At 45.9% G+C, this 13,449-nt stretch overlaps 1 protein-coding gene across 6 annotated transcripts in view, besides 2 other annotated features; it reads right to left on the minus strand.

Annotated features, from left to right (window-relative positions):
• NUGGC (nuclear GTPase, germinal center associated) overlaps positions 1-13,449 on the minus strand; it is a 61,973-nt gene that overhangs the window by 32,555 nt on the left and 15,969 nt on the right. For 3 of the 6 annotated variants that reach the window (NM_001010906.2, XM_011544523.3, XM_011544524.4), the window contains exons 6-10: positions 12,996-13,226; positions 10,004-10,213; positions 5,908-6,083; positions 3,740-3,758; positions 1,447-1,536 (exon numbers count right to left, since the gene is read on the minus strand). In NM_001010906.2, coding sequence (NP_001010906.1) covers positions 1,447-1,536; positions 3,740-3,758; positions 5,908-6,083; positions 10,004-10,213; positions 12,996-13,226 — 726 coding nt within the window. Of the gene's footprint in view, positions 1-1,446; positions 1,537-3,739; positions 3,759-5,907; positions 6,084-10,003; positions 10,214-12,995; positions 13,227-13,449 lie in introns of those variants that run through there. The other 3 variants (XM_011544526.3, XM_017013403.2, XM_011544525.2) reach the window with 3 other exon arrangements.
• Positions 6,003-6,168: a silencer, noted in NCBI's record as "fragment chr8:27918038-27918203 (GRCh37/hg19 assembly coordinates)". NCBI's record gives its function as "represses an EF-1alpha promoter that drives an FKBP-Casp9 reporter gene in an ReSE screen in phorbol 12-myristate 13-acetate-treated (for megakaryocytic differentiation) K562 erythroleukemia cells {active_cell/tissue: K562(+PMA)}" and the evidence as "EXISTENCE:reporter gene assay evidence [ECO:0000049][PMID:32094911]".
• Positions 8,844-9,343: an enhancer, noted in NCBI's record as "H3K4me1 hESC enhancer chr8:27920879-27921378 (GRCh37/hg19 assembly coordinates)". NCBI's record gives its function as "activates a minimal SCP1, AML or CMV promoter by ChIP-STARR-seq in naive H9 embryonic stem cells {active_cell/tissue: H9 hESC(naive)}" and the evidence as "EXISTENCE:reporter gene assay evidence [ECO:0000049][PMID:30033119]".

The raw sequence follows: 13,449 nt of genomic DNA on the forward strand, positions 1-13,449 counted from the left end.
TAAGTTGTATGTTTGTACCTACTTTAGTGATAAAATAGTAAAAATAGGAGAACACTAAGTGCAGCTCAGGCCTTATCCCTGTCCACTCCCTCTCACACTCTCCCTCTGAGCCTTTCCAAGCTACTTGCCTGTCATTCGCCAAACACAGCAGCCTGTGTGAACGGTGTTCTTGCTTCTGCCTCAAAAGTGCCTTCTCGACTTTTTCACCTTACTAAAGACTACAGCTTCTTTAAAATTCTGCTCTGCAGAGCACTGTGGTGCTTGCCGAGCTGTAGTCCCAGCTACGTGGGAGGCTGAGGCAGGAGGATCACTTCAGCCCAAGAGTTTGAGACCAGCCTGGGCAACATAGTGGAAACCCCATCTTTAAAAATAATAATAATAAAATTGGCCAGGTGCAGTGGCTCATGCCTGTAATCCCAGCATTTTGGGAGGCCAAGGCAGGCAGATCACCTGAGGTCAGGAGTTCAAGACCAGCCTAGTCAACATGGTAAAACCCTGTCTCTACTAAAAATACAAAAATTAACCAGGCATGGTGACCAGCCTGGTCAACATGGTAAAACCCTCTCTCTACTAAAAATACAAAAATTAACCAGGCATGGTGGCATGCACCTGTAATCCCAGCTACTCAGGAGGCTGAGGCAGGATAATCACTTGAACCCAGGAGACGGAGGTTGCAGTGAGCCGAGTTTGTCCCACTGCACTCCAGCCTGGGTGACAAAGTGAGACTAAGTCTCAAAAAATAATAATAATAAAATAAAATTCTGCTCAGAGGCTGAGTTTTCCTTGAACACCTCCCCAGTCCCACCTCTCCTGCCACCAGTGTGACCTGGCATCTTTCCTCCGTGTCCCATAGCACTCAACAATTCCTCCACTGTATGGAGAGCCCAGACTCACCTGGGCCTACTCCTCTGTGGACCACATGCTCATTCGACCCTCTCAACAATCACGGGAGATAGATATCATTATCTCCCTGCTTTAAAGATGAGAAAATGGTGCCTCAGAGAGGTAACTGAAGCAGTAGGACTGAGTTAAATCCAAACTGTCTCCTATAGGTCAGTAATCCCAGCACTTTGGGAGGTCAAGGCAGGTGGATCACTTGAGCCCAGGAGTTTGAGAACAGTCTGGACAACATGGTGCAATCCCATCTCTACAAAAAATACAAAAATTAGCCAGACATGGCGGTGCATGCCTATAGTCCCAGCTACTTGAGAGGCTGAGGTGGGAGGATCTCTTGAGCCTGGGAGGCAGAGGTTGCAGTGAGTCAAGATCACACCGCTGCACTTCAGCCTGGCCAACAGAGTGAGACCCGCGTCTCAAAACAAAAGAAACTAACTGTCTATTCCAAAACTTTGGCCCTTGCAACTACACAATACCAGGCATACATTTGTCTCCCAAAATCTAGTTGCTGGGATACAGAAAAACACATAGAGAAACCTATTAACTCACCTTCAGTTTTTCCTTGAGAATTCTAGTCCTTTGTAGTTTTATCATTTCATTTCTTTCTAAAACAGCCTCTCGCTGACTCTGAATAGCTTGCTAGGTTGTGAAAGGAAATAGAAGCATGCAGAGAGTAGCGTTATCAACAGTGATGAGGTGGCAAGATGCACATTTTTTTGGCAGATTTTCATTTGGTCCAAACAGTCAAATATGCATGCACTGTATTAGAATTATACACAGTTGCCGGGCACGGTGGCTCATGCCTGTAATCCTAGCCCGTTGGGAGGCCAAGGTAGGCAGATCACAAGCTCAAGAGATCGAGACCATCCTGGCTAATCCAGTGAAACCCCATCTCTACTAAGAATACAAAAAATTAGCTAGGCGTGGCGGCACGTGCCTGTAGTCCCAGCTACTCGGGAGGCTGAGGCAGGAGAATTGCTTGAACACAGGAAGCAGAGCTTGCAGTGAGTCGAGATCGCGCCACTGCACTCCAGCCTGGGCGACAGAGTGAGACTGTATCTCAAAAAAAAAAAAAAAATACACAGTTGACCCTTGGACTACATGGGTTTGAACTGCGTAGGTCCACTTATACGTGGATTCTTTTTCAATAATTGAAAAAGATTTGAAGATTTGCAACAATCTGAAAAAACTCACAGACAAACCCTGTAGCCTAGAAGTATCAAAAAATTAACAAAAAGGTGTCATGAATACATAAAATAGATGTAGATCCCAGTTTATATTTGATAATGTACTACCACGAAATGCACACGATTCTATCATGAAAAGTTAAAATTTATCAAAACTTCTGTAAACATCTATAGACTACATGGCACCATTGGCAGTCAAGAGGAATGTAAACAAACATTAAGATGCAGTATTAAATCATAACTGCATAAAATTAACTGTAGTACATACTATACTACTGTAATAACTTCAGAGCCACCTCCTGTTGCTGGTGTGGTGAGCTCAAGTGTTGCAAATATCCACTTAAAGCGCCAAACACCATGTGATACTAATGATCTCCATGTGAACAACTGCTCCAGTAAATTGCGTATGGCAATAAAAAGTGAGCTCTTGCAGTTCTCATGTATTTTTCAGCCTGTTTAGAGCAATACCCTAAATCTTGAATAACACCATCGGACCCATGTGAAGTCCAGTGATCCTGGAGGGGCTCCCAAGTAGCAGAGAAAAGTCATGACATTACAAGAAAAAGTTGAATCGCTTCATATGTGCCGTAGATTGAGGTCTGCAGCTGCTGTTGCCTGTCATTTCAGATGTACGATTCATCTTGTAAACAGATGAAGTAAACTTATGCTATTGATAAATACGGTGCCGTATTGTAAATGTATTTTCTCTTCCTTATGATTTTCTTTCCTTTTTTTTTTTTTTTTTTGTTGTTGTTGTTTGAGATGGAGTCTCACTGTTGCTCAGGCTGGAGTGCAGTGGCGCGATCTCGGCTCAGTGCAACCTCCGCCTCCCAGGTTCAAGTGACTGTCCTGCTTCAGCCTACTGAGTAGCTGGGATTACAGGTCCATTCCACCAGGCCCAGCTAATTTTTGCGTTTTTAGTAGAAACGGGGTTTCACCATGTTGGTTGGGCTGGTCTTAACTCCTGACCTCGTGATCCGCCCACCTCAGCCTTCCAAAGTGCTGGGATTACAGGCATGAGTCACCAAGTCCTGCCATGATTTTCTTAATGACATTTTCTTTTCTCTAGCTTACTTATTTTAAGAATACAGAACATAATACATACACAAAATATGTATTAATCGACTGTTTATGCTATCGGTAAGACTGCCAATCAACAGTGGCTATTAGTAGTTAAGTTTTTGGGGAATCAAAAATTATGTGTGGATTTTCAATTGAGCAGGGAGTTGGCACACTAATCTCTACATTGTTCAAGAGCCAACTGTAATATCAGTCATAAAAAGTATTATTTAAAAAGAATTAGTTCAGGCCGGGCGCGGTGGCTCACGCCTGTAATCCCAGCACTTTGGGAGGCTGAAGCCGGTGGATCACCTGAGGTCAGGGGTTCAAAACCAGCCTGGCCAACGTGGTGAAACCCCATCTCTACTAAAAATACAAAAATTAGCCAGGCATGATGGTGGGTACCTGTAATCCCAGCTACTCTGGAGGCTGAATTAGGAGAATTGCTTGAACCTGGGAGGCAGAGGTTGCCGTGAGCCGAGATCGCGCCAATGCACTCCAGCCTGGGTGACAGAGCGAGACTCTGTCTCAAAAAAATAAAAAATAAATAGATAATAATTTAAAAATAAAAATAAAAAAAACTAGTTCATACTTACATTTCCTGCCTTTCTTTCCCTGAAATGAAATTAGAAAAATGTAACAATTACTTAATTTTTACTATGTGTCACTGCAGTCTTTCGACTTTCCCCAAAAGCAGCACACACTCCCTGTGTCTGTGCCTTTTCATAAGTTCTTTCTTTGACCCAATGCTCTCTCTTCTGACCCATCTCCAGCATCCACTTGAAAAAAGTGCCTTCATTTCTCAACGGCCAGCCAGCGTTTTGTCAGCTGTGAACATTTTCTGTGACCTCACTCCCTGTCCCAGTCAAAAATGCAGCCCTCTCACCCTGGGTTCCCATAGCACCTGGCTTGTCCCTTCATGTATAACTTTTAACCCTCTTTTAGATGGTGAGCTCAAAGACTGGGCAATGTGCCTCTGAATCCACAGCCCCTACCTATGTTCAATAAATGCTTATCATTAATAAATTAGATTTAATTATGTTAATTTTTTTTTTTTTTGAGACGGAGTCTCACTCTGTTGCCCAGGCTGGAGTGCAGTGGTACGATCTCAGCTCACTGCAACCTCCACATTCCAGGTCCAAGCGATTCCCCTGCCTCAGCCTCCTGAGTAGCTGGGACTACAGGTGTGCATCACCACGCCCGGCCAATTTATTTTGTATTTTTTAGTACAGATGGGTTTCACCATGTTGGCCAGGATGGTCTCAATCTCCTGACCTTGTGATCTGCCCGCCTCAGCCTCCCAAAGTGCTGGGATTACAGGTGTGAGCCACCACACTCAGCCTAATTGTGTTAATTTTAGTGTTGGCATTGGAAAGGGAGGGCTGGAGATATTCTCTGCTGGGGTGAGATGGGGAGAAATGCAGGAGGAAAAAAATGAAGCTGCAATTCCAACCCAGACCATGACAGCAAGGGAATTCCTGGAGACAGCAGTCAGACCTAAGCTTCAGTGGGTGTGGAGGAAATGGTGGAGGGGCTGTAAAGGAGCTCTTGTTGGAGGTGAGACGCATCCGTGACATCACATCCCGTGAGCACACACCCCATGGATCCAGGAAAGCCCAGTTTATACCCGCTGATCCCCTCTAAGGACTAATCATACCCCCTCTCACTCTCAAAATTGTCCCAATATAGAAGGTTAGTTATAGTCTTCCTAACTATAGGGACAACAGAGCTCTCCATAGAAATCAACATCTATTAAGCCCAAAAATGCATACCTTTCATTGTAATTTGTTATAATACAACTCTTAGAGAATGCATCTACCTTCTCCCGAAGTTCTAAAACTTTTGAGGACCTGTTCCAAGTGAGTTAAAAAGTTCAGGAGTCTCTGGCTGGGGATGCTGGGCTTGATACCTAGGTGATGGGTTGATCTGTGCATCTAACCACCATGGCACATGTTTACCTGTGTAACAAACCTGCACATCCTGCACATGTACCCTGGAACTTAAAATAAAAATAAAAATTTAATGATTTTTAAAAAGCTCAGGAGTACAAAAACCTGAAACATCAAAGCTGTACCCTGGGCTGGGTGCAGTGGCTCACACCTGTAATCCCAGCACTTTGGGAGGCCAAGGCGGGCAGATCACCTGAGGTCCGGAGTTCAAGACCACCCCGGCCAACATGGCGAAACCCCATCTCTACTAAAATACAAAAATTAGCTGGGTGGACCGGCCGGCGCCTGTAATCCCAGCCACTCGGGAGGCTGAGGCAGGAGAATTGCTTGAACCCAGGAGACGGAGGTTGCAGTGAGCTGAGATCGTGCCATTGCACTCCAGCCTGGGCGGCACAGCAAGACTCTGTGCCAAAAAAAAAAAAGCTGTACCCTACCAGATAGGATTATAGGCTGTACCCCCTAGTTATGGGGGCATCTACACTTTCTACATCTGTGGAGCAGGTGGGATCATCACATCACACAGTGCAGGAGGTACACCATCTGCATCTGGTACATGTGAGTGGCACCCCCAGAGCTGTGTAGGGGACACCAGCTTGGCACTAAGCAGCTACCCTGGAAGGTTCAGATTCCTAAGACAACCCAACCAAGGGTCCTGATGTCCCAGGAAGTCACCCAGCCTTTTCTTTCCTCCCCAACAATCACTTCCTGAAGCCCTCTAACCACGTTACAAAGTCAAGCTCCATGCTACTGTAGTCAGGACCCACAGAGGAAAGCCCCTGACTGGAGCCCACATCCTTGCAAGCCCAGCACAATACCTTAGGTATTCTGGCAAGTGGAGTTTGTCCATCTTGGTGACCACCAGGGCCACGTCCCTACAGAAGCCCCGCTGGCAGGCTTTGATGCTCTCATTCAGAAGGTCTTCGTGGGCTTGCCCCCCAGAAACTCGCTCTATGTCGCTGATCACCCAGATCACTGAGCACTTGTCAATGGTCTGCAAAACATGACCACGGCATGTGTCAGCACAGGAATGGAGTCACAGTTCCTGAGGACCGGTTCCCTAATGTATCCCTTAAGCCTCTCCCTCCAGTCCCACCCCTCACCGCTCCCCACCGCACTCTGTGCACTAGCTGGACTGAGCTATGAGTCATTTCTCATATGTGCCTTGTTCTGTTAATTCCCTGGCCACAGCCTCTGCCTAGCCCCCATTTGTTCCTCAAGACTGTGGAGGACCTCTCGGGCATTGGGCTGGCCTCTGCATCCTGTAACACCTGGACTTACCTCAAGCAGCGCCTCTGAGACACAGTGACTGCACCAGGTCTGCTCTCTGCCCCTTGATGGGAAGCGACTGTCTGCACCTTTCCTCTTGGGATCCACCTCACCTCAAGCCCAGTGCTTGGCACACAGGAGAGGCTTCACAGAAGTTTGTGGCATTAGAGATTGACAGAATTCCCTAAATCAGTCCTCCAGTCCCAGTCCCAGATCCATCACTGGCTTGCTTTATCTCAGTTGTCCCCTGGGGAAAATTCTTGTTTTTCCAGAACTAGGTTTGGTGGTGCACCTACCCTCAAGCTGTCACCTGACGGCAGCATTTTGATGTTTGACTGCCCCTGCACGTTTAGTTCAATGCCACCAGATGGCAGCATGGAGCCAGAAACCATATGACAAGTTGCAAAGGCCAATGAACATGAAACAACATAATGGCATGAATGTTGCTTTATTAAATATGCAACTTTCACATGACGATCATGTGTAGCCTTGTGACATTTCTCTAATTGTATTGTTACTCTTGTCTTACCTCCACATAAATGAAAATCTGGTTCAACTCAGGGATTGAGTTTATTTGTGGTTCCTCAGTGCTTTGCATACAAAGGGATGACAAGTTTGTGACTTGAAAATTAAATCATCATTTTGCTTTATACCAGTAGTTTTTAACTAGTAGAGGTTTTGTGCCCCAGAAAATATAAACAGTCTCCAATTTGTGATGATTCAGCTTACAATTTTTCTTTTCGACTTTACAATGGGTTTACTGAACAATTGGTAAGTCCAGTACAATCGGGGCTAATGATGGTTATGATTCCAGCTTACAGTGGGCTTATCAGGATGCAATTCTATGGTACATCAATGAGCATCTGTATTTGGCAAAAAATGTCTGGAGACATTTTTAATTGTGACAACCTTGGGGGGGTACTTGAAGGTAAAGGCCGAGGATGCAGCTAAACATTCTTCAATGCCCAGGACAGCCCAACCCCAGCTCCCATCCCACAAATAATTATCTGACAGCCCAAAATGTCAAGAGTTTGAGAAACCCTGATCCAGGGCAGTGGGTTTCAGCTTGCTTTTAGCATGGGAGGCTTTTTCAAATGAAATCTTAGTTAGAATTCCAACATATAAACTTGATTTTTAAAAAGCAGAACTGCTCTGGTTGAATTGGGAGTGCAGGACCCAGAACCACCATCGGCTCAATGCCCTCTACCCTCTGTCCAGGAACCTTTTGGCTCCATACATCACTGCTTAAAAAGCATCTGCTTCTCAAGTTAGAGAAACCCCTTGGATTATAGGGAAGTAATGAAGCCCAAGCGGTAAAGAGACTCAAGTAGGGCCACACGACGATGGATCCTGTCTCTCCTCTATAAGTGAATGGACTTTGATTTAGGCAAGAAAATAAAAACCATTACAGCCCTTCTGCTGCCCAAACTATAATCAACTTAGAAAAGCTTTGGGCTCTGGGCCAGATGTGGTGGCTCACGCCTGTAATCCCAACATTTTGGGAGGCTAAAGCAGGCAGATCACTTGAGCTCAGGAGTTCACCAGCCTGGGCAATATGGTAAAATCTCATCTCTACAAAAAAAAAAAAAAATTAGCCAAGTGTGGTTGTGTGCACCTGTAGCCCCAGCTACTCGGGAGGCTGGGACAGCAGGATTGCTCAAGCCCAGGAGGTCGAGGTTGCAGTCAGCCATGATTATGCCACTGTACTCCAGTCCAGGCAACAGAGCAAGATGCTGTAGCAAACAAAACAAAACAAAAGTAGAAGCAGCTTCCAGCTCTGTAGTGTCAACAGTGGGCAGAGAATGGTCCAGCCAGCGGAAGGCCATAAGGATGCCAGGCTGGGTGCTCCTTAAGGGCAGGGCCCCCGTCACCTTCATATTCCCCATGGTCCTGGTAAGCCACAGGTGCTTAGTGTTTACTAACATGAGAAAAGGACAGCAACCATAAAGGGTGCAGTGGTTAAATTTCAGACCGACCCCACACAAAGCTCCCACTGCCAGGGTTTGGTAAAGTTAGTGTCGCAGAAGATACAAAAAAGCATTTCGATAAAACCTGAACTGCCAGACTTAGGAGTAGATGAGGTGGCACCCCACCACCCCCAACCTGCATCTCCCCAGGCCCCCGCTATGAGAATGGGACTTAGAGGAGTTCAGAGACATGCCTCAAGTCACGTGACTTCTAAGTGGCAGATCAGATTCAGGGACATCTGAATTCATAACGGGTTTTAGGGAAGGCAAGACTGGCAGCCTGAGAGACATAGGGAGGGCAACTGTGTCGTTCTCCCTGCAGAGGGGGGTCTTGAGTAACTTCTTGTGAGAGGAGGTCAAGAAAACCCACAAGAATGCAGGGGAGCTGGGCCAGGCAGAGCACGGTGGGAACCATCCCTCGCTTCAGCCTGACCTCCTCAGAGCACATTTTCTGAGCCAGATCTGCCGTCTTTGATAAGCTGCCCAGTGTATCTGAACTGGCTGCAGCCGCGGCTCCATCCAGCGAGAGGCCCTGGCAGCCTTCCTGGGCTGTCGCTCTCTCGGCCGGGCCTGGAACTAGCCAAGATTCGCGATTTCCACCCCAGGATCCGAGGTCTTGCAGAAACTAAGGCTCACAAGGCCAGGCCTGAGCCACCGACCAAGGGGAAGGACACAGAGACTGCCTTCCTCCTGCAGGAGGTGGATAATATAGAGCGTGCCCTGGGGGAGGTGGGGTAGATAGAGCCCCAGCAGGGAAGTTAGGAAACCTGCTCTCCAAGGCTGTGTGGTCCTGGACAAGTGACTTTCCCTCTCTGAGCCTTCATGTCTTCATCTGTACAATCAGGGCAGAGGCTAGAGCTTGCTCTAGATTGTGACTGGAAGTCGTGGTTACCAAGCTCCCCTGGCACAATCATTCATCTAAACAAACCTGTGGAGTTTAAAGAACTGGATTCTTTGGCAGCTGCTGTGCTGCTCACAACTCACTGATGCTGGTCCCCCTCTCCCAGTCCCCTTCCAGCTCCTGGGCTCCTGTGTTCCTCCCACCCTGTGCTCCAGAGCGCCTCTGTTTACCGCGCCCTTTCTCAATCACATGCCCCAGTCCCTCTCTTCCTGCAAGTTTTCCCAGGAAGCCAAACTCTGGAGCAGTAGTACTAAAGACCCCAGAACTTTTCCAGGCATGTCTTCCATAGTCTCCCTCCTCCACGGACCCCATGCTCCTTCTCCCATTCACCCAGGAAGATTCACCCTGCCCCCACCACGCCAGCTTCCTCAGACCTCCAGCTCTATGCTGATGCTGCTTACAGCCAACACAGTTGCAGCCTCTTGGTTCTTGGTGACTGGCTGCAGCTTCTCTGCTTTGTCCCCAACACTTGGCCTCCCAGTTCCCTTCTGTCCTTGGTCACTCTGTTTCCTCTTAAGCCACTCTATTGCTGGTCTTTCTCATACATCACACACACTTGTCCCAGCTCCAATAGTCACATCCTGTGATTCCTCCCTCCCCACTTTCTCTGGCTACCCACACCCTGCCAGGGCCTTGAGACTTAGAACATAGAAATTAAAAGAATTTAATTCCAATGAACTCAAAATCCCTGAAGCTGAAACCAGAGCATTCTTTGTTGCTTGAGAAAGGGTAGAGGAGTTTAGGGAAGAGAGAACTAAACCTACGAAAGACAGTCACCTTTTTCCACATCTCGTCCCTCTTGCTGTTGAAGTCGCCTGTGCCTGGGATGTCCACCAGCACGACCCCTTCTGGGATCAGGTCGGATTTGGGAAGTGTCACTTCCACATGTTTGATCAAGGGCCAGATGCGCATCTCAGCGGCCTCTCCATCCCAATCTCTCCTCTGTGTGCGGATGTAGGGGTCCAGCTTGATGGACAGCTCTTCTGCCTGAAGAAGGAGGACAGAGTCACACACACCAGCCATGCACCCAGCTCTGTTCACCCCGGTTGGCTGTGATGCAGGTTCATGGTAAGTATGCTGAGTAAGGGTAAGAAGTGCGTCCAACAGGAGGCCTGCAATCAGGTCTGTAGGACCTAGAACCTGAGAGCCAGGAAGGACCCTGGAGAGGAGCAAGTTCAAGATCCTTACCTTACAGATGAAACAAAACCAATGTCAGCTAAAATGGGACTTTAGGGAAGTTATAGTATTGCTGAATAATAAGTTTATCTTCTAAACTGCATTCAGTTCTAAAATTAACATACTATGTAATTGATATTTTCATTACCAGAAAGCTAGCAATGACTATAGAAAATTAACAGTGATATGGTAACCATATTTTCCAAACTGAAAATTGATCTGAAATTGGATCTTTTTTTTTTTTTTTTTTTTTTTTTTGAGACAGAGTCTTGCTCTGTTGCCCAGACTGGAGTGCAGTGGTGCGATCTCGGCTCACTACAAGCTCCGCCTCCCGGGTTCACGCCATTCTCCTGCCTGACTCCCCAGGAGCTGGGACTACAGGCACCCGCAACCACGCCCGGCTAATTTTTGTTGTATTTTTAGTAGAGACAGGGTTTCACCATGTTAGCCAGGATGGGGTCGATCTCCTGACGTTGTGATCCGCCCTCCTCAGCCTCCCAAAGTGCTGGGATTACAGGCGTGAGCCACCGCGCCTGGCCGAAATTGGATCTTAAAAAGAGTTTTTAAAATTTATCTTCTGATTACAAAAAATACCTTGATATGTAGGCATTTCTAGAATATTTTAATGATGGTGGGTGAGAGAGGGAATAGTTCTTAGACCACGGTTCCTACTTAAACATGTCTCGGGACAATGACACATCCATGCCAGCAACTATGACAGTAAATCGCAACTGGGGTACTTCAGAGGACAGGGGATTTGGGATGTATGGTGGTCACTGTTAAATAAATTTCTATAAAATAGTCCTGAAAGAAAGATAAGAATGTCAGTTCTTAAGAGAGTTTAAATTAAATCGCTGGATTTGTTGCAATCTGGGGAAGGAGTAAGAGATTTCATCAATTTCAACCAAATGATAAACCACGACGGAGGAGATAATAAAAGCTCTTTAAGACATTGTAATTTTAAAATAGAGCAGATACCGTAAGAGAGAAGCCCAGGAAAAGGCAGGGGCTTGAAAAGCCCCTTCCTACAAGAGGGCTCAGCCCAATAAACTGGTTCCGGGCAAACATCGTTGTAGAAGGCCTTGATTCTAGGATCTCCAGTGGAAACCCTGAATTTGTAAGCCCACTCATCGAGATGGTAATTCTGTTCACCTTGTTTCCGTGCGTAAATTTATGACGCTGGGAAGGAGTATTTCTAAATATAGAGTTGGCAAAGACGTTGATACCCTTGTGTAAGTTGCGTGTATTCAGATAAAGCAACTAGTTTTGTAATCATTGTGTTTCTTAGACATGCTCAGTCTATGTTTTAGATATTAGAAGTGTAATCATTTTAATAGTAATATTCGTCTTAAAACTGTAAGAAATGGGCACTGTATTTGTTTGATTTTCCAGGTATGCAAGAGATAGTAACATGCTTTGAAAAGGTTTCATTCATTTGATTTTTAAGTGTGCCTAGTCAAGCATTTAAACATTTTAAGAGGCTCAAGTATATTGAACTTTAACTGTAATGCAAAAAGCCTAAGGAAATGTGATTAATTATGTAAGTATCATTAATATTTAAGGAAGATTTGCTTTGTTAATCAGGAGATCATTGAACATTTAACTTTAGGACATGTATAAAAATTGTACCCATTTTACCAATAATCACTAGATTTATAAATAGAATAGCAATATTTTAAAGGTGTATTTAAAGGTGAGAGATACAAGAAAAACTAGGTTTTTAAATGTATAGCTTTCCTAAATTGAATGTTGATTCCACAAATATTTTGTTTTAATTCAGAAATTGAATTTTAACTTAAAATAAACATTGTTTATAAAAGCAAGAATATCATTCTACTAGTTGCCTATCGAATGTCCATCCTGTCCCTCTTTTATGCCAGCAGAATCCTGATTTTCTGTCTGACTGGGGAGGCAGTGGAGTGAAACTGGTCTAAGCAAATCATGACAAGTCTGCTTTTCACTTTCTCTGGACTCCCTTTCAGCCAGGAAGGGCTGTGTGGCTCAGTTCTGAACTCTGAAATCTACACAGAAATTTGTCAGAGGTATTTCTGGGAAAGTTTTTACTTTCTGATGAAAGGGGAGATGTGGCTGATGCCAACCTTTTCTCCACTTCTTCCTTCCAGGAGGCTAGCATGAAGTCTAGCACTCCGGGAGCCATCTCATGACAATGGGGGCGACGGAAGGCAAAGGGAGCCAGAGATGCTGATGTTGGCATTGCTGATCCACTAAACCAACCCCACCCCTACTGCCCCCAAACCTCTTACATGAGAAAAGGAATAAATCCCTGTTTGTTTAAGCCACTATAAGTCTTCTTAAAAAATCTTTGGCAGCCCAAACTATCCCTAATTATTCTCAAGCAACTGTAAATAGTCTTTTTCTGGGCATAAGAGCTCCTCCATTCACATACCAAAAATTTCCATTTGATAGCCATAAATAATGAGGATAACTTGGGCTACGGATACTTCTAATTTGGGTAGCAACTTATTTCTTATTTCACACAAACACTGTACCACAAGCCCATCCCCTGAAACAGGTTCAACTGTTAGACTTGAGACCCAGGATGAAATCAAGGAAAAAACGAACTTGACGCTACCTCTTCCGCCTTGAGGGTGATGACTCTGGAGGTGGGGATCTTCCTTTTGGGCTTCGCCCTCAGTAACTCCTCATAGTTCTTACTCTCTGCCCCATTTCCATAAATCATTTGTAGCTTCCAGGTGGCTTCCTCCACTGCCTCATCCCTGTTCCACGCATCTGCCTCTTCTCTGCTCAGCTCCTCCGTCCTATGCAGGAGTTTGGTCAGGTTCTTCAGCTCCTCCCTCCACTCCTGCCAAGGCAGAGTAGGGCCAAGCCCCTCTTGACACAGACACAGAGAACACCGACAAACAGAGGGGCCCATTGCCCCCTGTGGAGGGCCAGGGGGCTGCATATTCAGAAAATCTAGGTCATCTATCTGGGGTCTCGAAGAGGGGAATGGCTTGCCCAAAGTCTCATAAAAATGCAAGGACCAGGCTAGACCCCCTCCCCAGCTCACTTGATGAACTTTCTCC

The sequence above is a fragment of the Homo sapiens genome, chromosome 8 (assembly GCF_000001405.40).
Source record: "Homo sapiens chromosome 8, GRCh38.p14 Primary Assembly".
NCBI lineage: Eukaryota > Metazoa > Chordata > Mammalia > Primates > Hominidae > Homo > Homo sapiens.